Genomic DNA, 25,296 nt, shown 5'->3' on the forward strand with positions numbered 1-25,296 from the left:
CACTTCAAGTAGCAAAGCTTGTGGCAGGGCCCAGGAGCGGAGGTTCTAACTTCATTCTGTATCAGTGTCATGAAGATGCCTGAGCCCCACCCAGGTCCAACTGAATCAGACTCCCTCGGGGTGGGGTGCAAGCATCAGTATATTTTAAAAGCTCCTTAAGTGATCTGAAGGTGAAGCCAGAGGTAGGAACACTTGGCTAGGTTTTTCATGAGTTCCAGGGTATATCAATCATCTCCCCCAGGCAGATGAGTTGTGAATGTGGTCTCCCTTGTGAAACAGAGCTTTACTAGCAGGGAGTTTGTAGCCTCTGGAATAGGAAAACAGAAGTTTCTGTCCAAAGTGGAAACCATATGCTGGTGGAGCTGGGCATCCGATTCCACCCTCATTTTGCAGCTGAGGAAACAAGTCCTGAGTCCACACAGCTGGTGAAGTCCCTTGGCCCCAGCCAGGTCGTTTTTTTACTCTTGCTACAGATACCAAGCAGGGAGGCTCCCTAGAAGAGGAAGAGCTAGAGGGGCGGGGCCAGGAGGAGGTGCAAGTGACAAAAGACATGCAGACAGGAAATGAATGGCAAAAAAAATGCCGGGAAGAAAGGCAGAAGAGGACAGCCCCTGTTCCTTTCAAACCTCCACAAGTAGGCAGTGGCTGCCCTGCCCATAAACAGACATGCCTGGAACATGGCTGTGAGGCAGCAGACAGGCAGGGCTGGCCAGGAGCACAGCAAGGGGACAACGAGAAGGACACTGCCAGGGCAGAGTGCATCAGAAGCCCATAGGACGGCTTCGCTGCAAAGCAAAGGCCTTCCTGGGCTGAGAATGTACCTCCAAGAGGATGTGGGCAGGCACAGCTGGGCCTGGCTTTTAGGAGGTTTTCAGAAAGTAAAAGACACTGCCTATTTGACCATCCACTGAAAATGCCCTCTGAGGACTCAGTAAGGTTGAGTTACTAGTTGTGAGTGAGGAATGCCATTACTAGTCTGTTGTTGGGCACCCAGGCACCTGTGACAGATGAGAAGATGGGAGAGGGACAGATGTTCAGCCAGAAGAGAACTCAAAGGATAAGAAAGGTGGCCACAGGCACTCCAGAAGGGCTATTTGTTGTGCAGGGAAAAGGAGCCAGAGTAAAAAGGCATGGTCTGTAATCCCAGCGCTTTGGGAGGCTGAGGTGGGGGGATCACCTGAGGTCAGGAGTTCGAGACCAGCCTGGTCAACATGGCAAAACCCTGTCTCTACAAAAATACGAAAAATTAGCCGAGTGTGGTGGCACACGCCTATAATCCCAGCTTCTCAGCAGGCTGAAGCAGGAGAACTGCTTGAACCCAGGAGGCAGATGTTGCAGTGAGCCAAGATCGCACCACTACACTCCAGCCTGGGCGACAGAGTGAGACTCCATCTCAAAATAAATAGCAAGCCATGGTAAGTACCTCAGCAGGGGGCTGAGGGAGGAGTGGGGGAGTGGGTATGGACTGTGGCTCCATCTCACAAAGAACCTCCCAGCCGAGTTATGTGAGAGTGGCATTGTCACTAGCCAACATAGTGAGCCTACGGGCACTGGGAATATTTAAGCGAGGCTAGTGGCTGTCTGTCATGGACACTACCGAAAATGACTGATGAGATGCACAGCTGGATGAGAGGCATTGGGGGTTCTCTGCAGATATCAGATTGTGTTGACTTTTCTTGGTGAGTCTCTACTTTTAATTGCAAGGTCTTTGCTGTCTTGAAGGAACTGGGGATGAAGCAGCAAGCAGAGGTTCTCACCATAGCTCCCCAGGGCAAGGAAGGCCACAGCCCAGCCTGGAGACCAGCCAGCAGGCAGGGTCAGCTAGAGCAGCGCTCTGATGGACAGACCTCAGGGACATAAAGGCGAGAGTCTTCAGGAAGCATCTGGAAACCAGCTCCTTTCCCACCTAGAAGATGGGTAACAACTGCCACTCCCCGGCTTTTAGGAAAGCCCACACCCAGCCCCACGATGTCTGCAAATTCTCAGGGGGGTGTATTTCTCATTACCTCTGGCTTCTGCAGAATTCTCCTTCCCTTCTCCAGGAGTTGACGCTGGCTTTTAACTCTGTCCTATAATCCCCTGTGCAGAAGCCCCAGTCCCTTCTCCTAGGTTCCTCCCCATTCCCCAGAAAGGGACACACAGGCCAGTGAGGAGAGTGGACGCCCCTGGAGTCTGGCTTCAGGAGAGGATAGGGCTGTCAGATACTTTAAACTGAAGAGCTGACGGCTCCTGCTCCTTGACTTCCCTTGGCCATTTCCACTAACTCAATCCCAGCCTTCAAGCGAGTCCACCTTCTCTCCCTTTTTACTGCAATTCCTGCACAGATTTACACAGAAGAGCTCTCTCTATATATAATTTTTTTTCTCTTTCTACTCATGCCCACAAGGCCTCATTTCTCACCCAAATGACCTATCAAGGTAGTTCTTAAATGAAAGCAGTTCCTCCCCTCAGAGAACACTAACACCAGCAGGCAAAATAATTTTTCTCATTGCACAGCATGTTCAATAGAGAGCTAGCTAAGTCAGGCCGGATCGACGTCCACGCTCTATGTGGTGCACCAGCACAGATTGGCTGGAGTTAGATATTTGAGTCTGAACCTGAACTTCTCATGTGGTTCTCACAACATCCCTCCACAAAGGCCTTTCCCCCAAAAACCATAGTCCATAGTTGACTCCAGTCTTGCTGGCAGCTAAGCAAGTCCTGGGAAAACCAGGAGCTGGCAGGTGTCTGGAAACCATTTCTTTGCAGTTCTGTGCTGCTGCATCCTCTGGCTTGAAGTCATCAGGAACCAGCCCCACTTTGCAACCCCAGGGCCCACAATCCAAATGCAGTCTCTGGTTTTTGAAGCTTTTAGTCCCATTAGCGTTCACAGTGCTAGGAATGATGCAAGACAGGGGAGGATGGAAGCGGCATTGGACCAGCAGTTCCAGCAGGCCAGGCTGCCAAAGCTTCTGTCTCCCCTCCCTCGCTTCCCTATTACTGGGAGTGCTTAATGTGCACCCATGCAAGAAGACCAATTTGCACCTTCTGTGGAGGACACAGCTTGGAATTTCTTGACTTCTGTGCACCTCAATAGCCAATGACTTCACTGTTTCTGTCTTGCTCCTTGACTTGATCTCTCATGAGAGTGGAGGAGCCAGAAGAAGGTAAGCCAGTCATAACAGTCAAAGGTTCCCAAAACAAAAGGCGAAGAGCCAAAGCAGGCAGTGATCCCTGAGAATCACCAAGGCTCCCCAACCTCCCTCTGATGAGACTCAGGGGCTCCTTTTTATCTCCAGAATCTATCTATAAGACAGGGTCAGTGGGAAGTAGGCCAAATGCTATATGGTGTGACAGCAAGGGCCTAGGACTTTCTCTGCCTCCCCAGATGCCTCCCAACTTGTGAGCAGGTTCCTGACACTACAAGTTCATTCCTTTAGCATAAGGTGTTAACACTATCAAATACAAACTACTCCACAAAAGATGAGGCTTTGAGTTTATCATGGCCATAAGAATAGAGATGGGGTGGAAGACATCCGAGAAAAGCTTAGAAGAAGGTTGGAGCCTGGGGTGGCTGGGTGGAGGGGAGCAATAGGCTGGGCAGAGGCCAGGTAGGCCAAGGATAAGCTCCACAACTCAGATGGCACTTGGTCCAAGCAGTGATGGGGCCTTGACTCCAGGCTTAGCCCCACTTCCACTTTGCTCTGTGAACTTAGGTTAACTCACCCCTCTGGGTCTCCATATCCCTTTTTCAAGGTGAAACCAAAAATAAACTTATCTCACTTCTTGCAAAGTCAAGGATAGTTTTACCAGTTCCCTTGTTAGGGAAATGGTTCTGTGATAAGAGTAGCAAGGCTTTACTCTGTGCCAGGTGCTGTTCTAAGCCCTTAACAAGCGCTAACTCATGTAATCTTCCAAAGATTCCAGAGGTGGGAGCTACGACCACCCCCATCTTGCAGATGAAGACCTTGCAGCGACCAGCCCAGGGTCCCCTGGCAAGTGGGTGACAAAGCCAGGAATGAACCCAGGGGGTCTGGGCCAGAGCCCACACCTTAACCATCATACTCCATGGCCTCTCTATGTGCAGGGGCCCCACACACAGAGCATAAGCCCAGCTGCCTGCTTCTAATGTTCTGATCCAGTTTATGAGGGGTACCTTGCACCTGGTGTACCCCCAATCACAAAACAGGGATAGCCTCAAGTGCTTTTTCCAGTTGTATTACTTTACTGAGACCAGAGTAACCATCTAAATCCACTTCAAGACTGCCCCTAGGAAGGCGTTCCTCACACCAATGTGGGGGACACACCTGTTGTTAAAAAAAGATAGCCTTGGCCAGGCGTGGTGGCTCATGCCTGTAATCCTAGCACTTTGGGAGGCCGAGGTGGGGGATCACCTGTGGTCAGGAGTTCGAGACCAGCCTGGCCAACATGGCAAAACCCTGTCTCTACTAAAAATACAAAAATTAGCCAGGCATGGTGGCAGGTGCCTGTAATCCCAGCTACTCAGGAGGCTGAGGCAGGAGAATCGCTTGAACCCGGGCAGCGGAGGTTGCAGTGAGCCAAGACCGCACCACTGCACTCCAGCCTGGGCAACACAGTGAGACTCCGTCTCAGAAAAAAGTACAAAACTTAGCTTGCCATGGTGGCGCACACCTGTAATCCCAGCTGCTCAGGAAGCTGAGGAAGGAGAATCGCTTGAACTTGGGAGGTGGAGGTTGCAGTGAGCCGAGATCACACCACTGCACTCCATCCTGCACAATGGGAGCCAGGCTCTACCTCAAAAAAAAAAAAAAAAAAAAAAGATAGCCTTGTTAGATTTGATTTCTGACACCTTGACTTCATTTTAATTCTGTTTGAGACAAGCCTGGTTTTCCTACTAGTGCTGAACAGGCCTGACTCTGCAGGGAGGGCTGAGGTGCCTCGAGCCTTTGTTACCTTTAATTAGCTGTGCTCTCATTGATTGATTGATTTTCTTCCTGAATTGCAAGAGAGGACAGCGCCCCTGCTCCCCAGGTGCGCGGGGCCTGCCACTGGAATTATAACGAGCATTAAGTAGGTCCAGCACGCCATTCCAGGCCTGCGAGACCTCCACTGTTCCCTGTCAAACCTCAAATTGATTCTGAAATTGCTTTGAGGACATAAAGTGGGGAACAATTTGAAATCCGTGTAATTATCTGCGTGGCTGTTGCTGGGTGACCCAGCCATCCATACCTGAGACCTTCTGAAGAGGCCAGAGCTACGGTTCCAAAACAAAAGGTTAAATAGTGAGTAGGAATCTGTGATTTACGTGGGACTGTCAGGTCCCCAGGATGGTTCTGCTCAGGGACCTGGAGTTGGGCTTTGCTGCGGGCAAGCTAAAGTTCTATCCTGGGAAATACTGCCCAGACCGTAGCTTTATGAACAAACTATGCATAATCACTGAATATCTGCTGAGCATCTACCAAGTGCCCAGCACCGCGTGAGACACGTCAGACATACTAGGAGGTGATACCCCTCCTGGGTGCTATAGAATCCAAGTGGAGAGAATAGTAACATGGGAAGATGTTAGGTAATAATGCATTATTACCTGTAAGACATGATGTGCTAATGCCCAAGTAAGTGGAAATACTCCAAGCTGACAGTTAGGGAGAGTGGATGAACATCAGACCTGTGGCTAAATACTTCACCCTCCATCATGTGTGCTTAGACCTCCTAAGGATTTGGTATGGACAGAGAAACTGAGGCTCAGGGAGCTCAAGTCACTTGCCCAGAGGCTCAGGGAGCTCAGGTCACTTGCCTACTCCCCTCAGCCCCAAGGGTGGCATGTCCACTGGTGGCCAGCCCACAGGAAACATGAAGGAAGCCAAGGATGATGCTATGTAGCCCGAGCTCACTGAAGTTTTTGCAAGAGAAATGCTCAGAAACATCCTGAAAAGAAAAAATACAAACAAACAGAGCCTGAGCTCAAGGTGTCACCATGATTGCAACCGCCAAGGTTTTCACACCTGCAAATGTCTGTGAACAAACATTAGTTCCAAACAGAAATTCAAACCTGAGCACACTCCCTATGCAGGCAACATCTCAAAATCACATTTTAGCAAGAAATTTGACAGTCAGCACCCTCTGCTATGTAGACACCTCCTTTAATGGGCTGAGGGTGGGTGATCTCTCCTCAGCCTGCTCTGGGTAAGATTTCCTCGTGACTCCCACTGTGATCATTAACACCCATGGTCCAGGCTCAGCCACAGTTAGGGAGAGTTTGCAGAACACCAGCTACTTCCTGGAAGAAGGGACCCAATTCTGTTTTGCTACCTTTTGTGTGTGTCTGTGGTAAATATACACAACATCAAATTTACCACTTTAAACATATGTAAGTGTACAGTTTAGTGACATTAAGTACATTCTCAGTGTTGTGCAACCATATCACCGCTAGTCTCCAAAACTTTTTGTATTTCCAGTTAGCACAGTGAGAAATATTAGATGCTCAATAAATATTTGTTGAATTAATGAACAGTCCAGTATTCAGGTACCTGGAATTTACTAGGCTCTGACTTCCATATAGAATTCCATATAGCTGTCAATCATCTGTCCAATATGCTTATCTTCTTATCACAACACAAATCTCTGTCCTCTCCTCTTCTCCTACAAGTGAATATGTAGCTGAGCTCAGGAACTGTCCCCAGGTATGGGGTCAGAGCCCAGCTATCCCTCCCTAGAACGATGCCTACCTTTTACGTGGTGCTGACAGCAAAACAAAACAAAAAAGCAGGTTCTTTAAAGCCTAGATTAAAACCCAACAAGAATTATCCCCAAAGGAAAAATAGGTGGGTACTTAAAACAGATATGCCCTTTGCATCGGAATTCTCTGAGGCACACAGTGTAAAAATGTTAGCCAGTGTTCCACGGAGCAGGCCCGGCAAGAGACGATCTGCCAACTATCTGCCACCTCCTTACCACCTTCCCTCCACTCTCCCACTCCACCCTCCTAAGGAATCTCATGCCTGGCATGAGAAACAAATGAGGGGCTTTACTGTCCCTGTAATTGCTCCAAATCCCATTAATTATATGGTAAGCCTCCAACAATAGGCTGGGCTGCCTGCCTTAATACAAACTCGACTTGGGGCAGATTCCAGGACCTCCAGGGCCTCAGTTTCTACTACTATAAAACTAAGGGCTGATGAATGCTATGTCCCCTTCCAGGCTCCGTGTTCTACGACTCTGAGCTTGAAGAGCCAGTAGCCTCCTCATATGCCCAAAGGCACAAGACAACTAATTACTTCTCACACTGTCACCATAAACTGTCAAAACTTTGTCTACAAAGATGGCAGGTTGGAATCACAGAACTTCCTTTCCTAGCTGAAAAGGATTTGCCCAGGCCAGGGACTGGTCAGGGCCCATGCCAAGATGGGCTACCAAGTCCCAGACTCTTAGACCTGAGCACTTCCAGCTAGACGACTTATGATCATGGTATTTACTGCTGTCAGAGCCTTCTAAGCAATGTATAATGCTGTTTAAAACCCACCTCTGGCCGGGTGCGGTGGCTCACCCCTGTAATTCCAGCACTTTGGGAAGCCAAGGTGGGTGGATGGCAAGGTCAAGAGATCGAGACCATGCTGGCCAACGTGGTGAAACCCCGTCTCTAATAAAAATACAAAAATTAGCTGGGCGTGGTGGCAGGCACCTGTAATCCCAGCTACTTGGGAGGCCAAGGAAGGAGAATTGCTTGAACCTGGGAGGCGGAGATTGCAGTGAGCTGAGATCACGCCACAGCACTCCAGCCTGGCAACAGAGCGAAACTCCACCTCATAAATAAATAAATAAATAAATAAATTGTACTTTTCTGCTGCCTTCCTCTGTAAGAACAGGTATCTCTTTATGCAATGGCTGTCGTGGAAGCCATGCATAGACTACATTTTTGGTACATTTTTTATGTAGCAGGGACTCCAACAATTAATGCTTTTAAAAATGAATTAACCTCATAAGACCATGCCAATCTATCCCTTTTCTAAGTTGGACTTTTGTATACTCATTTTGCATAAAGGAAGAGGCACCCAAAAGACACCAGCCATGTATGGCCATGTGAGTTCCCATGTCAGCCATGCAAGGCCATCCACCACACACCCACACACACACAAGATTAGGTATGTACAGACAAGGCTACTTTGGTTGAACCAGTCTGACCAGTGCTTCTTCCACTCCCTGCCCCCAGATTCCCCATCTCAGAGGAAAGGCAGGCAATTTGGAGTTAGGCCAGCTCCTTAGCTCTGCCCTTCCCCAGCTATTGTTCCTCAAAGGGCGATTCTACTGGCATTTAGGGCAGGATGACCTCTTGCCCTTGCCTCTCCCTCCCACCTTTCCACTTTTGGGGGTCAGTCCACCCCATGCCCAGGCTGGCCAGAGTCCTTCTGCCTTGGTTTCTCAGTGGGCATCCCGAGTCTCCTGCCAGCCTGGGGGCTGCCCTGAACTCTGACCATTACTAGGCTGGGTCCTCTCAGCCAGAGTTTCCAATTGGACCAATACGTTTGTAAAATACAATAAAAATGAACTGATAGAAAAATAGTCAGATGTTTAAGATGTCACAGCAATGCCAAACTTCAATAAGGGTTTCTAAGCATTTACTGTCAATGTCTGTACTTGTGTCACAGACTGGTAACAAACAGTACCAGTGGACCATACCTTGAGTAGTTCTGTTCGTTCTAGGCCAGTGGTTCTTAAATTATGGTCTCAGGACCAGCAGCATCAGCATCAACTGGGAACTTGATGGGGTACATTCTCGAGCCCCATCCCAGACCTCCTGAATCTAAAACTCTGGGGTGCAACTCAGTAAGCTGTGTCTTACCAAGCCCTCTGTGTGAGTCTGATGTATGCTTAAGTCAGAGAACCAAAGCTTTAAGCAGACCCTCCCCTCAGGGTGAGGCTGGGCTGGGACCCCAGGAGCCCTACAGAAGGTGAGGTCTACCTGAAGATTCTAGAACATTCCAGGCCAGGTCTCTGGCCATGGTCCTCACCCCTGGAATTAGAAGACCCCTCTCAGGCTTGGCCACAGGACTGCGGAGATGAGGGAAAGAAAAAGAGGTTGTAAAAATAAAAATCACTGGAGCCCCGCACTGCTGGAAAAATACTCTTTAATTAGGGCCAGAGTCCTGGAGATCACCAAGGGAGGCTTCCCGGAGACCACTAGTCTCCATTAGCATTTTCCCAAGGGCTACATCCAGGTTATGAAATAGGAGGGCTGGGTGTGATTTGCATATAATTTGCATATGCCTATTTGGACTGCACACTCTTCTCCAGCAATTTTCAACAGAATTACAATCTTTTCTTTAAAAGCTACTGCTGCCCTAAGGGTTGTCACTTATCATTTTTCCTGCTCTCTCCTCCTCCTCATTCTCCCTCTCTGGCAAATCCACAACCTTAAGCAGGAAGTGTAAAAAATGCTGAAGAGCACAGAAGTGGGGGTAGTGGCAGCAGGGGCTGCTCTTGACGAGGCTGTCACATGAGCATCTCATTCGTGAGGGAATTTCACAGACCTATACGATATGTTTTTAAAAGGAAACGGTACCAAATTGTCATGTTATGCATGTCTACTATCCCCATAGCTATCATAAAAGAGACCACATCTTATTGCCAAAAATGTTGGAAGAACGTAAATCTCAGAATAAAGGACAACCCTTTTAAGAGAGAGAAACTGAGTCTTATAAAAAATGTACTACATTATCTTATTTTTCTCATTTGTTTTCAGACCCAAGATCTGAATCCTGGCTGCACCAAATACTCTAGTTGGTCAACTTCAAGCTTCAGTAGTTTCTCCCCTAGGAAATGGTACCGTGAGTTCTATTTGCCGGGTTCTGGTAAGAGTTGCAAATGTCAAGTGCCTGGCACATAGTGAGCCCTCAAAAATTGGTTCCTGGCCAGGTGCGGTGGCTCAGGCCTGTAATCCCAGCACTTTGGGAGGCTGAGGCAGGTGGATCACGGGGTCAGGAGATCAAGACCATCCTGGCTAACACAGTGAAACCCCATCTCTACTAGAAATACAAAAAAATTAGCTGGGCATGGTGGCAGGTGCCTGTAGTCCCAGCTACTCGGGAGGCTGAGGCAGGAGAATGGCGTGAACCCAGGAGGCGGAACTTGCAGTGAGCCGAGATCACGCCACTGCACTCCAGCCTGGGCAACAGAGTGAGACTCCACCTCAAAAAAAAAAAAAATTGGTTCCTATTTTTCATTATCAAAATTTTAAAAATCACTGTTGTTATTATTATTAGGTTATTGAGGAGCTTTCCTTTCTCGTCTCTCCTGAGTAAGTGAAAACAATCCTTTCCGCGTTCCATTTTCCAGGCTATGTGTGCAAGTCTGGATTTTAAAACCAGAAATATAAGTAGTGGATTCAGGTTTAAAAAAAAAAAAAACTACGTCCAAGACTTCCAAAAAAAGTCTACTGTTAGAACAAGCAGCCTTTCTGTCTTTCCTCATGCTTAAAAGGGCCAGTGAGAGAAAGACTTTTTTCTTTGTGTGTGTGTCTGTGTGTGTGTGTGTCCCCTGAGGATGGTGAGCAGCCTTATTTCAGAATGCCGAGGGAAGGGGCTGTCACCCAAGTGCACAGGCCTGGAAAGGCAAACTGCTTCGCTGGATTTTTGTTCAGAACACATTTGGGAGTGCATCTGCCTCAAAGCTCAGGGGTTTCTTGTCCCCTGGCCTCCCCTAGCTCAGCTCTCCGCTGCTCTGGGGAGTCTGAGATGGGGGCATATTTCACTTGGCAACTCAGGCTGGCAGCAATAGCATTCTCTTTGTGGGGTGACCTATCAACCCACTTGTCCTCTACATCTCGGCCTTCCAAGGAGACACATCAGCTGGCCCCTGGCTGCCTGGCTCCAAATGTCAGCACAAAGTAACTGCCCCTCTATGTGACAGATGTGTGCACATCTTTTCAGCCAATTTGGGCAGTAAATTACATCATGTGCAGTCTTTGCTCACCATTCCCAGATTTATTCAATCGACAACAGAAATGGAGGGATTCCTGGCCCCTGCCAGTCAGTACTCTGTGATACCTCTGATCCAGATTCCCCACCCCTCCAACAAAACCCAGGGGTAGGCATCTCTTCCTCATGTTCCCATAGCACCATCTGCTTCCTAAGGCAGCAGATCCCAAGATGCAGTAGATGTCTGTTCTCTTGTCTTTCTCACCCCCTGCCTGCCCGTGGTGGGAGCTGCTTGAGGGCACATGACTTGTCTTGCTCAGCACCAAATCTCCCAGTGCCCAGCACACAGTACCATCGCAAGTGCTTAGTAAATATCTGCTGAATGAAGAAATAAAAAAAAATGAATGAATGAAAGTTAGCCTTTTCTGCCTAAGAAGAAGCCAGGGTCTGTTATAGTCACTCTCAATTATGGGCAATTTGCCTCCCAGGAGACATTTGGCAATGTCTGGAGACATTTTTGGTTGTCAGTAACTCGGTAAGAGGGGGTTGCTACTGTCATCTAATGGGTAAGACGCCAGGGATGCTGCTCAATGTCCTACAATGGACAGGACAGTCTTGATACAACAGATGAGAAAACTGAGGTTCAGAGAGGTAAAGCAATGTGCCCAATAATATGGCTATTCAGTGGCTGGGATGGGACTCACACTAAGATACATCTGATGGCAAATCTGTGATCTTACCTGACACCTTGAAGGGAAGTCCTAGGACCATTGGGGGTCCCAAGGGCATGCATGGCTGACAGTAAAGATATCAAAGTTATTCCATTAAAAATTTGCTTTTATTTGGATTTTTCTTCATCAATAAGATAAAGACAAGTAGAAAAAGCAGCCATTTTAGACCAAATATTTCTCCCCAACAAGCCTGCTTTGATTCCTGAAATTTCTCAATTAGATACTCTTCCAAGGCAAGAATCTCTGTACTTCTGCTATTCTCCCACCTACTTAAGACATCTTTGACCTGCCACCTGCTTATCCAGTTTCTGTCCATCTCTCAGGGACAGAAGGAGGGTTTCCTCCTCTGTGAAGCTCGGTCTGACCCCCTTAGAAGGGAGCCAATGCCTGACCTTCAACTACACGTGTAGCCTGTCCCTGCTCAGGGCACATGAAAGGAGGTCTCAGGCAGTGCCCACGTGCTGGGCTCACATGCCTGGGCTTCGGCCACATCTTGGAGATCCAGTCCCCTCCTGGGCCTTGCTACCAGCTGGCCAACTTCCCATGGTTCCCAGCCCACAGGGATCTTCTTGAGGCCATCCAGGCAGCTGGCATTCTTGTTCATCCTGCCTGCTCAGCCCTACCTACCCCGAACCCCAGAAGGCTTGTCAAGCTCCCTTCCTGGCCTTTGCTGGCCACCCCACAGCACTACGATGAGTCATATCATCCCTTGTGTCAGGACTCTATTTTACCCCTCCAGCAAGTATCCAAGTAAAGACTCTTCTGTCATGGTTTTATGCTCATTGGCTCTTAATTTCTAAGAGGCAGTAAAGGGCAATGTTCACCAGCATGACTTCTGGAGTCAGATTGCCTGGGTTCAAATCCCAGCTCTGCCGCTTTCCAGCTATGGGACCTTGGACAAGCTACTTAAATTCTCTGTGCCTCATGTGAAGAACAGAGATAATAATAGTACCTACCTCACAGCAATGTTGTGAGAATTAACAAGCTTAGCAGAGTCCCTGGCACACAGTAGGTACTCCATAGGAGTCAGTGCGGGTCATGTCACATGCTGTGTCCCTAGAAGCCCAGCTGTCCCAGGCTTCTGAAACAGTGTCTCAATCATTGGTTCAGCAGTGTGTTTTGAATGCCTACTGTGTGTGAGCCATAATGTGAGAATGGAGTTATATCCTGGGCTGTGGTGAACAGGACAAGCTCTTCCACGATGCTACGGGGCAGGGATGTCAATACATCGTAACTGATTCCATGTGAACCTTCTTGACCACAGAGGCCGATGCTAAATGTAATAGTTCTTCATTCGATTCCTATTGTCATCAACTCATCTGATATTCCCATGCCTGATTATGGACCCAAGAAGCTCTTGCATCAGGTCCTGTTCATCTGATCCTCCTTTTGTTATAACTATCACTCCTCTCGTCTCTTTATAAGTGTGAACCTAAGGCTCAGAGAGATTAAGCGAGTTATCCAAGATGACACAGTATTCAATGCATGGACTCAAAGCTAGGATTTCTGCTTTCCAGGCCAGTTGTGGCTGTCATGCTCAGCTCCAGGGGCATCATTCATAGGAAATGGAAACCCTAGAGTTCGGAGTGAGTCTAAGCAGTATCTAGCAAAATCCAGAGGCCTCAGGCCAGCAAGTGCAGACAGAAGTTGCTAAGAGTGAGCCTAGGGCAGTGGTTCTCAAGCCTGCCTGGGAATTAGATCACCTTGGTGCTTAGGCCCTGTCCAGACAAATTAGATCCGAATTGTGGGGGTCAGGCAGCAGCGTTTTTAAACCCCCTCCCCTGCTCCCCAACAGTCCTGAGGTTCAGCCTGCAATCACTGCTCTAGTTCCTTGTTACTCAAAGTATGGTCCCTGGACCAGCAGCATAGGCCTTGTTAAGAGGTCATTAGCACTGGCCTGGGAGCTTGCTAGAAATGTAGAGTCTCTGCCCTGCCCTATATCAACTCAGTCAGAACCTGCGTGTTTTAACTGCAATCTCCGGGGCATGGGTAAGTAGAGCTGGTCTTGCAAAGGACAGAAGCCACAGAATACAGATGTCATCCCGCTTGGACCCAGCCCTATTGTGGGGAGATTTCTCTGTGGGTGAGTAACATGGTTTGGATGTGCATCCCCTCCAAATCTCATGTTGAAATGTGATTCCCAATGTTGGAGGTAGGGCCCGGTGGGAGGTACTGGATCATAGGCAGAACATGAATGGCTTAGCACCATCTCCTTGGTGATGAGTGAGTTCTCACTCAGTTCATGTGAGATCTGGTTGTTTAAGAGTCTGGGACCACCCCCTTCTCCTTCTTGCTCCAGCTTTGGCATGTGACATGATAGCTCCCTGTCACCACCTGCCTCACCAGAACCAGAGGCCAGCACCGTGCTTCCTGTACAGGCTGCAAAACGGTAAGCCAATTAAACCTCTTTATAAATTACCCTGTCTCAGGTATTCCTTCGTAGCAACGCAAGAACGAACTAACACAATAAGGTTACCAAATTTAGTGAACAAAAGTACAGGATGCTCAGTTATATCTGAATTTCAGATAAACAACAAATAACTTTTTAGTATAAGTGCGTTCTGTGCAATATGCGGGATTACTGATAACTTCTTGCTTCAGTTCGTCTACAATGATCTTTCCCTCTAAATCCTGGGGAACATGGCAAAAGCAACCTTAAGACTTACCAATGACAGAGTCCCCTCTTAAAAGCCCCTCAAGATTCTCAAGTTATAAAGGGATGATTTTGCTCCCTAGGGTACATGTATCAATGCCTAGCTGCATTTTTAGTTGCCACTACTAAACTTCTCATTGCTTATCTGAAGTTCAAATGTCCAGTGAAGGAGGAAAAGGGCAGGAGAGCCCAGAGAGGAGACAAAAGGGTGGGGTCACTGCATATAGTGGCCAAGAGCTGCTAGGACTAGTGCACAGGATGATGGGAGGTGGCAGGTATGGGCAGTACTGTATACCCAATCAGGCACAAGACACAGCAGCCTCTTCCAGAAATCCCCTTCAACAAGGGCTCTCCAGCTGAGCTTCCTTGGAGACCAGGGAAGGAAGAGCCCACAGTTGCCCCCACCCCTCCAGGCCAGCCCATCCCCTAGAGACTGCTGACAGCTGGGAGAAGGGTGCAGGCTGCAGGCCACCCGAGGTGCCCGCCCCGACCCTGGCTTTCATTTTTAATGAGCCATTTTCCAAGTGCTTCACAAGCAGGCAGGCAGGCATTGTTTGCAGCCAGCAGGGGAGTCCTGAGCCGGCTGTTAATGGGTTTCCCTCAGCTCCCCCTCCTGGGGGTCTGCACAGCCCCTTCGGATGAAAGGAGCCCTCTGCAGAGGGCATGGTGACCATGGGCATGGCAGCTTCTGTCCTCTGTTCGGGCTGTCAAAGCCTACCCCAATCTGCCTGGGGAATGCCTTCATGAGTGCCAATTAGAGTTGGGACAAAATGTGTGTGATTTCAGAAGCCAGGGGAGTTGAGACACTCGGAACACAGCAACTTCTGCATAAAGCAGGTACCTAGAGAGCTGACCCTGAGAGGATCACCAGTTGAGAGGAACTCAGCAACAGCTGGAGTTTGCTGGGGGTAAATTGGCAAACCAACGCTGGATGAGGCTCACAGGACTCGGGGATTTTTGAAAATTCAAAACCCCAACAGGACACAGGGAAATGGCGGAAGGTTTTCTGTGATCTAGTGAGGAAAGCAAAGCTGAGGGATCACGTATCTGGATTCTCAATGGAGTGACGGTCCTCCCCACAGGGACTCATGATGTCCAAGGTAGTCAGTTTCTCCTCCCACTCCCTGCAACCCCTGCCTGGTTTGAGTGCAAAGGGCACTGGCCTGGTACTCAGGAAGCCCCAGCTTTGCCACCTACTAGCCTGGGGACCCCCAAGAAACACCTCCCACATTGGGCCTCAGTTTCCTCATTTTGGGCAAAGTGGGAGGTAACGAGGTAGACTGGAGCCTGTGTTCAGCCTCAAATCCCACACTCCCGGTAGGAAGGGTGGCTCCTCATGGGCGTGGATAGATCAGCCTCTCCAGGGGGCTGCACAATTGTGCTCCACCCCCATCCCCACCCCATCCAACTGTTCAGAGAATCTCTAGGCTGGTGAACTCAATGGACCTGTCCAGCTCTGATACTTAGGGGTCTCAATTAGCTTCTTGCCCCCTACCCCTAAAGCATAACTCAACTGGAAAGATGTATAATCAAGGCCATGGAGAGGCCCTGTGGATGGAGGATAGCCCTTCAGGTCTACCTAAGCACGGGAAGCGCCCAGCCCCCGTAAGAAAGGATCAGCAATTTTCACTGTCCTCACTCCTCTTGTCTTCAGAGAGCCACAGCATCAACTCTCCAGCCCTAGAGACCTGGCAACAGGCTTCCCACTCTCCCACCCACTCTCCCACCCAGACCCTGCCTCACACCATCAACCACCTGGACACCCGGCTCCTGCTGGGCTTAAAAGAACACTCCCTTCCTCATGTTTTCCCTTCCTTACAGACAAAATAGAATTGGAATTTTCAAAAGAATGTTACTAAAAATCTTCATGGAAAATAGAAGGGGATTTGTTTTAGTTTTTGTTTTAAAGGACTTTGAAAAGAACAATCCTTCCATGTATGGGTTTAGGAGTAGGAGCTGCCTGAAGTGGGGTCACAGGTGTCTGAAGAGCCGGGACCCCATCTCCCCACCACTCCTCCTCCACCCCCAGCCCCTAGCCTGAGCAGGCAAACACAGGCTGTGATGGTAGCAGGAAGGCCGCTGCAGCATGGGGGTGATATCATTTGGATGTTTATCCCCTTCAAACCTTACGTTGAAATGTGACCCCCAGTGTTGGAAGTGGGTTCTAGTGGGAGGTGTTGGACCATGGGAGTGGATTTCTCATGAATGGCTTGGTGCCATGCCCTTGGCAATGAGTGACTTCTTGCTCTATAGTTCACAGGAGAGCTGGTTGTTTTGAAAAGCCTGGCATCTCTTGCTCCCTCTCTTGCCATCCATATGCCAGCTCCCCTTGCCTGCCATGATTAAAAGCTCCCTGAGGCCTCACCATAAGCCAGGCAGATCCTGGTGCCATGCTTGCACAGCCTGCAGAACTGTGAGCCAAATAAGCCTCTTTGTAAATTGCCCAGCCTCAGGTATTCCTTTATAGAACTAACACAGGAGGCAATGAAGAGACCTCGTTCTACGTGGTGATGAGCAAGCTGCCACACCTCTCTGGGCCTCAGTTTCCGACCCTGTAAAATGGGGATATGTGTATCCATCACACATGATTGCTGTGAGAATTGTGTGAAATAATTCACGCGAACTTGTCTTGCACATAGAAGACACTCAACAAGCCAGGTGCAGTGGCTCACGCCTGTAATCCCAACATTTTGGGAGGCCAAGGCAAGGGGATCACCTGAGGTCAGGAGTTCAATACCAGCCTGGCCAACATGGTGAAACCCTGTCTCTACTAAAAATACAAAAATCAGCCAGGTGTGATGGTGGGCGCCTGTAATCCCAGCTACTCAGGAGGCTGAGGCAGGGGAATCACTTGAACCCAGTAAGCTGAGATTGCGCCACTGCAATCCAGCCTGGGCGACAAGAGTGAAACTCCGTCTCAAAAAAAAAAAAAAAAAAAAAAAAGACACTCAAAAAATGTGGCCCTTTCAGCAGGCTTGGCTAAAAACTGCTCCTAGACAGACATCACAGCCAAAGCTAAAGCCTTTAGTGGAGCGGGATCTTCAACTTGTGCCTCAGCTCAGCCCTGACCTCAGTCTCTGGCACAAGGCAGTGCCTACTGTTTTGACCCAGCTCCCTAGGCCAGCCTCACCCCGATCTGATTCCAGAAACAAAACGTCTCCCCAAATGTCCTGTGTCCCTGATGCCTTTGCTCTGAGGATGCCAGGTCGAGAGCTTGTTTGCAAAGTACAGGGAGGCACCAGTGTTTTTGGCTGACTGGATAGGTTCCTCCTAGGTGGCTGCCACGTGCCAAGCTTTACACATGGCATCTCAGTGAAACCTCACAGCAGCCTCGATGTGACATATACTATTACCATCTCCAGCTTATAGGCAATACAAGTCAACGTCCCAGGTCCTGCAGCTATTGAGGGCAGAGCCAGTGGTTCTCAATCCTGGCTAACAAAAAGGATCACCTGGGGAGGCTTTGAAACATACAGATCCCAGGTCCATCCCCAGATATTCTGACCCTGTAGGTCTGGGGTGGGCCAGGGCATCAGAATTTCAGAAGATCCCAGGGTCATTCTAACATGCAGCCTGGGTTGAGACAGCTCGCCCGACATTCAGCAGACCTTTCCCCTCTGCTGGAGGACCCCTGCCTCCTTCCTCACCCCCTGCCCATCTCAGGGGCCCTACTGAGGCGCATGCGCACTAGCTATAGCCCAGCCCTTCAGTCGCCACACATGCCCTCAGCTCCAAGGCTTCCAGGCCCTCTAGATGGGGAAACTGAGGGCTGAGGTGGACTTGTGACCCATGGAGGCCTAGCTGTTTGTCTTCTGCTCTCTGCCACCCCCTATTGATGACAGCAGAACATGTCCCTTGCAAAAAACAAAACAAAACAAAAAAAAAACCTAAAAAAACAACCAAAAAACAAACAAACCAAAACTCACTTCTGTTTTCTTCCTCTCTTCCTCCCATAGGACTGGTTGGGAACCAACCCCCCCTCACAAGTCCTCCCCTGCCCCCATCCCTCCAGATGAAGCCTCTGGGCTAGAGGCCCACCTGCTTGGTTCTTGGGCTTCTGGCTTCCTGGAGAGGCCCCTTCTGCCTTCCCGGCTGGTCAGGGAGGCAAGTTCCACACAGCCCCTTGCAGACCCATGCTGCCCTAGACCTTGAATCAGTGCTGGCATGGCGACAGGCTGTTCCTCACACTAGGAGGGTCGCATCTGCGGCCCACGTCCTCCCTCTGGTCCAGCCCAGCTCACAGGAGCCCAACACTGGGCTTGGGCCCAAAGCCTCCACAGTGTTCACTTATTTGCCTGAACTTGGCCCTGCTGCATACACCCCCTGGGGCAGGGGCGATTGTTCTCAACAGCATCTATTGTTTGCTGAATCCTGTGCCCAGCCCTCAGGCTCCGCACCACTTTCATTGGTTCCTAATATTCAAAGAGTCTCTCCCCAAGAAGGGCACTCCTGAGTGAGGCCCCCGCCGTCTTCTGGGTCCCTGGTATGGAGGGGCCCCAAGCAGGCCCCTTCTTCCCAGAACCAACATGTCACAGGTTCCAGCCTGTTCCCCTCCCCTGGCAACCAAGCCCAAGGGCTCAGCCTGCTGGAGTAGGTTCTGAGCCCCCACCCCTGTAAACACAAGGCCCAGCTGCATTTTATTTTAATAGAGAGATGGACAGAGGGCTATGGGAGACAGAAGGATCTTAGCAAGCATCAGAGAGTAAGGTCGCTTTCTCCTACCATAAATTTTGTGTCAATTAACGAGTATTCATGAACGATGCCAGAATGCCTCTGTGTGTGTGTGTGTGTGTGTGTGTGTGTAACCTTGATTTGTAACCAAATCAGTGGGGCTTCCTCTGGGGCTGGTGGTCTGGGAAAGTGTGTGTGTGAGCTCATTCAGGTGTTCATTTAGAGAGACAGTGTAGTACAAGGTTAGAAGCAAGTTTTCTGGAGCCACACACACTGTGTGGGTTCAAATTCTGCCTCTGCCCCTTTAAGCCATATGGGTGTGATCCTGGGCCAGCTGCTTACCTTTTCTGTCTCAGTTTTCCTATCCGTTAAATGGGGTTAATAAAACACTCAGCAGAGTGCCTCACACAGAGAAAGAACTTAATCGATGTTAGCTACGATTATGACCTTGGCACTATGGGGGGACGTAATGCTAAATATTCACTCCACACATGTTTTTTATAGTCAAAAGGAAAGCAGCATGGCACATGCAATGGTGTAGGTGGATCTGAATACATTATTAAGTGAAAAAGGCTGCAGTGATTACATACAGCATAACAGGCTTTGAACAAGGCTAAAAGTAATGATAATAAAATGTATATTTTTAGGAATATATATAAGTGGAATAAAATGGTTGCCGTGGGAGGCCCGGGAATGTTTGGATGTAGGCATTTGTCCAATCTTAGCTTTGTTTTGGGCAATGGGTTCTTGGGTGCTTATTACATTAATAAAAACAACCAAGTAAATACATAATTAAATAAAGGCAGCCCACACACAGACCAATAAAGAGACTGTCACATGCCAAATATTGTGGTTAAATACCAATAGTTCAAAAGCAGGGAAAACAGAAACAAATACACAGAGTGACAGTTGCAGGCTAGAAACTGTCTGGGCCGTGGGTTTATATCAGTGAATAGAATAGAAAAAAATTCCCAGCCTCTGGGAGCTCACATTCCAGTGCAGGGAGATGAGTAAGCAAAAGATAAAATGTTGATATCCAAGTGTGTTAGGAAGAGAAATGAGGAAGATTCAGGAGACAGGAAGTAGACAGGCAGAGAAGGCTTCACCGAGAAAGGGACATGCAAGCAAACTGGAGAAGAAGGAGAAGGAGGGATCATGAGGGTTCTGGAGGCCAAGCTTCCAGGCAAAGGGCATATCCCAGGCCAAGGCCCTCAGGCAAGAATGCGCTAGCACAGGGGGTTCAGTGTGGCGGGAGTGGAGCGAGGGGGAAGTGGGTAGATGGGTAGGTGGGAAGATGGAACAGGTCATTTGATTCTTGCAGGCTGCTGTGGGGACTTGGCATTGACTGAGTGACATGGTGGGGAGAGGGCACTGGAAGGCTCTCAGCAAGGCAGGAAACATCTGACACATGTCAGAGGATCCTGCTGTCCGCTGCGCCTAGGAGAACTGGGGGCAGAGGCTGGGAGGCCAATCAGTAGGCTATTGTGCTAATCCAGGTGAGAGGTGACGGCTGCCAGCACCTGAGAGATGACAGTGGAAGAGGTGAGAAGCGGCCAAACCCCGGATATCATGATGACACAGCTGCTGCTCTCCTGGGGGCTCCCAGGCTGACAGCCAAGGCCAGACATGCAATATAAAATCTACCCTAAATGCTATATCAGAGGCCAAGCCCAGTGGGCACTTCCTGTCTCCTTCCCTCCCTTGCAGTTCTGAAGGGCACTTGCCAGCTGCAGGAAGTGCACTGGCAGCTGCGGCCCTGCTTCTCAGACCCCGGCTCAGGCGGCCACCACCTCTGATTCCACATGCTCTTTCCCAACTCCTCCTACAGCCAGCCTGACCAGAAACCCTGACCATCTGTGCGGCCAGGGGGCTGACTATCCTTCCCCACCCAGGGCCTGCCAGCCCCATGCCTGCCTCCCTGAGCTCCAACCAGGGGTCCTGTTGTGTCCTCATTATAGGCCTCAATGTGGCCAGACTGTCAGAGCCCAGGAAGGTTTAGGTTTTATGTCAGTGGTTCTCTACCTTAGCTGCCCATTGAAATCACCTAGAGAAATTCATAAATTATTGGTGCCTGAGTCTCACCCCACGACTGTTATAATAGGTCTGGCATATAGCCTCGGCACTGGAATTTTCTCAAAGCTTCCAGGTGATTCTAACATGCAGTCCAGGGTGGGGAACCACTGCTCAGGTGGCCTGGTCTAGCTCCCCTGTCCCTCTCCCTTGTGGGTGTGTCATGCCACAAGCCTCCATTCAGCCACTTGCTCTCCCAGACAAAGCCCTGGCTGGTGCATCCTCCACAGATGTGAGGCACCTCTGGAGGGCTTGCTCAGCCCAGAGATGAGCTGACTGTACCCAAGCTGGCAGGCACTGTGCTGGGTAGAGCATGTACCCACCTACCTCACATGATGGGCTGGAAACTTGGGACTTTTTGCAGGACCGCCTCGCAGCCTGGAGAGTTGAGTGGATATCCAGGACCACCAGCTTCCCCAGGCTGATTCTAAGGCCAGAAAAGCCCTGCAGCTCAGATATCTGCAATCAAAGCTGCACTGGACTGCTTCCCCTCCCCAGCTCCTCCCCATCCCCATCCTTGCCCCTTTAGGACGAGGACTTGGAATGCATTTTTATTAGACTTTCCCTAGGTGAAAATGGTGCTGGGCTAGGGGTGGGGAAACTGGATGGAGTGTGATTTACACTTCCCCTGCGTCCTCACACCTCCCAAGGGCAGCCAGCCTCAGCAGCCTGCTCACAGAGCCACTGAAGATGGGCTGCACGGTGCAGGCTGCGTGCCGATCCGCCCCAGCCGAGAGCAGCATCTCTGCATAAGCACCCCCATCTCAATCTCCAATGAGCTGGAGGCTGTTTGGTAAATGGGATGGAAGGAGGAGGTGGATGCTGATGTCTGTAAGGTTCTGGCAAAGCCAACACTCAGAGAAATTACTCTTATTCCCCAGACCCCATTCACAGCGGATCAGGCTGTCCCTATTATATTTTATCTTTGCTCCAAACAGCTCCTTTGATTCACACCTGCCTCTAAGTTCTATCTCCAGGCCTCCATCCCTGCATAGCCCCAAACAAGAGAGGCCATTTTCCCTAGAGAGAGGCTTCCTAGCTTCCTCCTGCCCCTCCTTAGAGACGATGGCCTTCATCAGATTAGTTTCCAGTGGACTTGGCTTGCCCATAGCCCTCCTATAAACCCTAAGCAGGATTTCTCAATCTCAGCACTGACACTCTGGGCTGCTGTGTCAGGTGGGGAGAGGAAGGGAGGCTGTCCCAGGCATTGCAGGATGTCTAGCAGCATCCCTGACCTCCACCTACTCAATGCCAGCAGCACTCCCCTCCCAAGTCTGGGACAATCCCAGACCTCACCACCAAATGTCCCCTGGAAGAGAGTGGACAAAATTATCCTGGCTAGGAAACACTGTGCTATAGCAATGTGACGGGAGGCCTCAGGAAGGCAAGAACCATGTCAGCACTTCTGAGAGACAGCTCAGCGGGTGGCCAGTTCAGAAAACCAAGCTCTGATAATCAAAACATAACAGATGTTGGCGTGGATGCGATAAAAAGGGAACACTTCTATACTGTTGGTGGGAATGTAAACTAGCGCAACCACTGTGGAAAACGGTGTGGAGATTCCTTAAAGAACTAACAATAGATCTACCATTTGATCCAGCAATTCCACTACTGGGTATCTACCCCGAGGAAAGTAAGTCATTACACAAAAAAGATACTTGCACTTGCATGTTTATAGCAGCACAATTCGCAATTGCAAAAATGTGGAACCAACCCAAATATCAGTCAATCAATGAGTGGATAAAGCAACTGTGGTATATATATATATGACGGAATACTACTCAGCCATAAAAAGGAATGAATTAATGGCATTCACAGCAACCTGGATGGGATTGGAGACTATTATTCTAAGTGAAGTAACTTAGGAATGGAAAACCAAACATCATATGTTCTCTTTCACAAGTGGAAACTAAGCTGTGAGGATGCAAAGGCATAAGAATAATACAATGGACGTTGGGGACTCAGGGGAAAGGGTGGGAGGGGTGACAGATAAAACACTACAAATTGGGTTCAGTGTATTCTGCTCGAGTGCACCAACATCTCACAAATCACCACTAAGGAACATACTTATTTAACCAACCACCTGTTCCCCAAAAACCTATGGAAATAAAAAATTGAAAGAAAATATCAATTTAAAAAAAAGCCAGACTCTGCATTAAGGAATGGTATGATCTTGTGAGGAGGTCTAACATCTCTGGGCTTCAGTGTCACCCTCTGGCCAATATTTGTACAGGGCTGGTACTATGATAAGTGCCTTCTGCAGGTTTTCTTATATAATCCTCACAACATTCCTCTGGGGAAGGCGTTGTCCCTATTTTACAGCTGGAGAAATTGAGCATGGGGGAAGTTAGGCAACTTGCTCAGGAGCACACAACAAGACAAAGCAGTTTGACTCCAGAGCCTATGGTCTCACCCATGTGGGTCTTATCCACGGTCTGTACTCCCTCCCTTAAAGCTGAGGGTGGGCCTGAGATGACCACCAAAGTCCTTTGCAGTTCTATGACTTTGCCATTCTTTTGATTTTGCTGCTACAAAATGAGGGTTCACTGGGGATCCTGTATTCTTTGTATTTCCCTGCCCCTTTAGGACACAGCTTGCTCATACCTTCCTTCACCCAGTGATTTAACATGCTCCTACTGTGGGCTGTGCAGTGAGTAAGGATCCGGCAGTTCAGTTGTCAATGAGGTGTGCAGTTTACCCTCCAGTGAAGAGGCAGATATTAAACATCTACTTATAACTGTAAATAAATGAGACATTTATTTACAACTGTGATGCTATGGTCTGAATGTGTGTATACTCCCAAAACTCATATGCTGAAACCCTAATCGCAATGGTGATGGGATTAGGGCCTTTGGGAGGTGATAAGATCAGAAGGGCAGAGCCTCATGAATAGAATTGGTGCCTTTTTAAAAGAGGCCCCAGAGAGCTGCCTTGACCCTTCCACCATGTGAAGACGGTACAGGAAGGCACCATCTATGAGAAAGTGGGTCCTCACCAGACACCAAATCTGCTGGCACCTTGATCTTGGACCTCCCAGCTTCCAGAATCGTGAGTAGCAAATTTGTTGTTTGTGAACTCTCAGTCTATGATATTGTTACCACAGCCCAAATGGACTAAGAAGCATGTAAACAGGGGCCCAACCCAGCCCAGAGGGCCAGGGAATGGACCATCTAGCTGCCCTCTGATGGGTGAGCTGGAGTCAACCCGGAGAAGGCAAGGGAAGCCATCACCCCAAGAGAGCAGTGTGCACACCACCCTAAGATGGGAAAGAGTACTATGAGCTGAGCCAGGATCTGGGGTTCAGGTGTCAGTGAGGCATGCAGTTTACCCTCCAGTGAGGAGGTGGATTAGGAATTAAACATCTATTTACAACTGTAAATAAATGAGACATCTATTTACAACTGTGATGCTATGGTCTGAATGTGTGGATACCCCAAAAACTCACATGTAGAAACCCTAATCCCTAGGGTGATGGGATTAGGGCCTATGGGAGGTGATGAGTTCATAAGGGCAGAGAAACCAAAAGGGAAGAGGATGCTAGAGGAGGCTGATGAGGTGAGCAGAACCTTGTAGGCCCTGAGAAGAATATCTTACCTTTATCCTAAAAGCAAGAAGAGGCTATGAGAGGGTTTAAATAAGAGAATGACATGCTCAGATAAGCATGCTTAGCAGAGCAATTCCTGTGTGCTGCGTGAAGACTGGGTTGGGCTGGGGATGGTGGCAGGAAACGCCGGGGGACCTGTCTGGGCTGGTCCAGGGAAGGGGGTGGTGAGCTGGACCACATGACGACTCAGGAGCAGAGAGAAGTGGCAGAGTCCAGAGGCATTAACACACAGAGCGGGCAGAGCCACCGTGGATGTGATGCGAGAGGGTGCGTAGAAGCAGGGTTAGCAGACAGGAGGACAATGGAGCTGTTTACAGGACAGAGTCAGTTCCCAGGGCTGTGGGGACTATGTCGGGAGCTCCCTTTGGCCACACTGAGTTTGAAAGGTGCTGTGCATGGTAACATGGGATTGAATGACTGATTGGTCTACTAACTGATTAATTGATAAGTGATCCTGAGACCTCTTTCTAAGATGAAACTCACTTTGAGGACCCTGGCTGACTCAGATACACCCTGGACAAGCACAGATAGAAAACAAAGAAGGCACACATGCAGCAGGAATGCCTTGGAGGGGAAGAGCCCACATAATGGAAATCTAAGTTATTATTACTATTACCTTATCAGATCTGACAAGATCACAGTCAAAGGTGGGGCCGTAGCAGCCTGTAATACAATATAAATGGGATCTCTGGTGGC

The 25,296-nt window shown here is 49.2% G+C and overlaps 1 protein-coding gene across 15 annotated transcripts in view, besides 1 other annotated feature; it reads right to left on the reverse strand.

The window, feature by feature from the left end:
* Positions 1-25,296, reverse strand: part of ZBTB7C (zinc finger and BTB domain containing 7C) — a 385,914-nt gene that overhangs the window by 273,412 nt on the left and 87,206 nt on the right. The window lies entirely within an intron of this gene.
* Positions 17,971-18,472: an enhancer, noted in NCBI's record as "NANOG-H3K4me1 hESC enhancer chr18:45844425-45844926 (GRCh37/hg19 assembly coordinates)". NCBI's record gives its function as "activates a minimal SCP1, AML or CMV promoter by ChIP-STARR-seq in primed H9 embryonic stem cells {active_cell/tissue: H9 hESC(primed)}" and the evidence as "EXISTENCE:reporter gene assay evidence [ECO:0000049][PMID:30033119]".

Source organism: Homo sapiens, chromosome 18 (assembly GCF_000001405.40).
Source record: "Homo sapiens chromosome 18, GRCh38.p14 Primary Assembly".
NCBI classification, from domain to species: Eukaryota; Metazoa; Chordata; class Mammalia; order Primates; family Hominidae; genus Homo; species Homo sapiens.